The sequence below is a fragment of the Homo sapiens genome, chromosome 12 (genome assembly GCF_000001405.40).
Source record: "Homo sapiens chromosome 12, GRCh38.p14 Primary Assembly".
Taxonomy (NCBI): domain Eukaryota; kingdom Metazoa; phylum Chordata; class Mammalia; order Primates; family Hominidae; genus Homo; species Homo sapiens.
The window spans coordinates 13,338,982-13,342,278 of NC_000012.12; the positions used below are offsets into that span (position 1 = coordinate 13,338,982).

The 3,297-nt window shown below is 43.9% G+C and overlaps 1 annotated feature.

Moving 5' to 3' along the window:
* Positions 308–1,507: an enhancer, noted in NCBI's record as "MED14-independent group 3 enhancer chr12:13492223-13493422 (GRCh37/hg19 assembly coordinates)". NCBI's record gives its function as "activates an origin of replication core promoter dependent on BRD2, BRD4, P300/CBP and CDK7 cofactors, and independent of MED14, by STARR-seq in HCT116 cells {active_cell/tissue: HCT116}" and the evidence as "EXISTENCE:reporter gene assay evidence [ECO:0000049][PMID:35650434]".

Below are 3,297 nucleotides of genomic sequence, written 5' to 3' on the forward strand. Positions count from 1 at the left end.
ACTCTAGCCTGGGCAACAGAGCAAGACTCTGTCCCAAAAAAAAAAAAAAAAAAGAACAGGCCTTGGGCTAGATTTGGTCTTATAAGCCTTAGTTTGCTGGCCCATGCTTTACAGCGAAATAAAAAAAAAATTCTCTAAGCACCATGGCACTTACCAAAGGTTAAGCTAAGTGGGACCATGGCAGTTAAGTTTGTGGCTCTTAACACATTTATATAGGTCAAGCGAGTTTGAGAGGAGCTGACAACTCAAAAGTTCTTCTCATTCCGTCTAACAGGAAGAACATGAAATCCTACCAGAGATACTTGTTTCTGCAGGTTGAGGCTTACACATCCAGGGGTTCCTAGTTAAAAGATCAATAGTCTGTGGAGATTACAGTTCAATTCTCTACATGGGTTTCCCACATGAAGAGGTGAGTTAAAACAGAGTGAATTGCAAGACTCGTAGGTTGAGATGCCTTCTAGACAAAGGTAAAAATCATGAGTGTCTGGTTTAGAGAGGAGGAGCTAGGAAAATAGGTCAATTACAACTTTCATGTTCCCATGTTCCTGCCACCACCAGGGTCAACCTTGGAATTCAGTGTGTGGTAAACACACCAAGATAGATGTGCAGGCCTCTGGGACTCTTGTGGGTGGAGCCCTGCTTCCCCAGCCCACAGAGGCTGCCAGCCTATCAGAGGAGCCCATAATGAGTAAGGGGCATGCATGACAAGAGAAAGGGTGGAGCCAGCACTGGGATTGGGGAGCTGGGTATGGTAGTTCTTTGGCAGGCATGATTTGTGTGTGACATGCCCGGGACTTGATAGTTCCCATAACCCCTGACAGAGAGTATGACTAATAGGATAGGTAGACAACTCAAAGGAAGGGTGTGTTAGTTTCCCAGGGAGAGAATGTGGAGTTCATCATCTGTGGACTCTAGCAATGCCTCTAGCCAGAGTCAGAGGACAAGGTATGGACTGGGAGTGTGGCCTCACCCTCTGGCGACTAACATCACAGTGCTTTTTTAAATATTTGAAAACTTAGGTCCCCCCTACCCACCTTGGGAATAGGAACGGAAAAGGGGAAGGAGGAAGAAATACTGACTGTCAGATGATCTTTACCCTAAAGGGATGAAATTTAACTAAAAGAGACTTTTAAACCAAAGGATGCTGAATTACTGTCAGTCGATAAATTTAAATTCCCCCACCCTCTCCCCACACCTCCATCACCAGGAATAGAGTCTTAAAAGTGGAAAATAAAGTTCTCTCCATATATGTCCACCCCCATCTGAATCATACTTTGATCTCCCTCTATGTATTAAACAAACATTTATTTCCAACATGTGCCAGACACTGCCTTCCCTGGGGATACCCTGGAGAACAAGCCTGGCGTGATCTCAGCCCTCCTGGAGCCAGAAGTCTCCCTCTGGGCCTGGCTGTCATTGGAAAGGCAGTGGTCATCCCATTCACCCTGTACATGGGCCTTAAAGGAACCTACACTCTCTCTTCCACCATCACACAGCTCAAGCTGTCAGAGGCAGGCTCTTCATTTTCTCCTTCCAATCTTAGCACAACTTAGCTCCAGTCAGTAATAAACGCAGATGGCATCACATAGGTAGTTTCAGCCATGGCCTGTTGGTCACTGCATGGTTGCTTGATCTTCTCTCATCCCTTTAGAATTCAGAATGCTGGTAGGAAGACAGCTTCCTCCTGTCACTCTGACTGTCCTCCTTCCCAAAAAGTCACTTGTGTAGTACCGCCCACTCAAGCCAGATTTTTGAGTGCTATTATAACCACTTTAGATTGTACCAATGGGCTGTCAGATCCTTGATTCCAGCTTCTAAGTCTCTCCCATATGCATATTTTCCTGGCCATTCCCACAGACACTGCCCACAATAGTCTCCTATTTGTTCCTCTGTCTCAGCACTGCCCCAACTGAAATCTGTCGGCCATGCTGGTAGCAGAATGCTTTTGTAGAAAATGCAATTCTAATAATGTTCCTCTTTTTTTTTTTTTAAAAGCATTTAATGGTCCTCTATTGCCTCTATTGTCTTCTCTTCATTAGACAACCCCAACGGGAACTTCATCCTAGATGTGGAGTTCTTGCTGCTCCCCATTTGGATGAAGCTGCTTGAGTCTTCAGAGCTTGAGCTTGGCTTACCCCGCTGTGCTGTGAGATTCCTATTCATTCTTCAAGTCTCCTTTTCCGTCACTTTGCTGAAGTCCTCAGAGGGACCCACATCCTCTTCCCCATCATCACACAGCTTGAGCTCTTAGAGGCAGGCTTTTCATTTTCTAGGAATCCCCTTTTCAAGCTTCACATAGCAATTTATGTTGCTAGAGCACTTACCATACTGGAGGGTCATTGTTTTTTAGTGTATCTCTCCCCTTGGACATCCATTCCTTCATTTGTTCTTTCAATTAATATTTGTTGAGGATGTACTATGTGCTAGGCATTGAGAAAACACAGTCCTAGTCTTTAAGGAGCTAATATTTTAGCAAAAATGGCACGTAATAAATTTATAAGGCACCATAGACTGAACATTTTGGGTCAGGGGTGATCTGCTATGGTCCAAATGTTTGTGCTTCCCCAAAGTTCATATGCTGAAACCTAATTCCCAATGTAATGTCATTAAGAGGGGGGGTCTTTGGGGGGTGATTAGGTCATGACGGTGAATACCAGATGAATGGGATTGGTGCCCTTATAAAGGAGGCCTGAGGGAGCTTTCTTACCCTTTCCATTTTGTGAGGGCACAGCAAGAAAGCACCATCTATGAAGCAGAGTGGGCTCCCATCAAATCTGTTGGCATCTTGATCTTGGACTTCCCAGCCTCCAGAACTGCAAGAAGTACATTTCTGTTGTTTATAAATTACCCATTCTAAGGTATTTTGTTATAGCAACCCAAATGGACTAAAGCAGGATCTTATTCATCTTTATGTCCCTGGTACTTAGCACATGCTTGGCACACATGTGTTCTCAATAATGCTTGTGAATGAATGAATGTATGTATGAAGCAGAATGTTATGGTATTGGCTGCACAAGAATGTAGAGAAATGCCTTTGATATTATTTGGTTTTGGTTCATCTAAAATTGTCTCCTTTTCTCAAAATGCTCTTCCATCTTCACTAGTAGAATTCTCACTTATATTCCCTTGCAGACTTTTTATCAAGTTCACCTTCTTTCCCCTTCCCTTGTGTCTCATTTTCTCGTCATTGTCCTTTCCCCTCATGACATTTGCTTCCTGGGAGATTTCTTATTTTTCTCCAGTCGAAAGCAAACTGTCAGCCTTTCTGGGGGAAAGAGTGGTGTCTCCTGTTGCTCT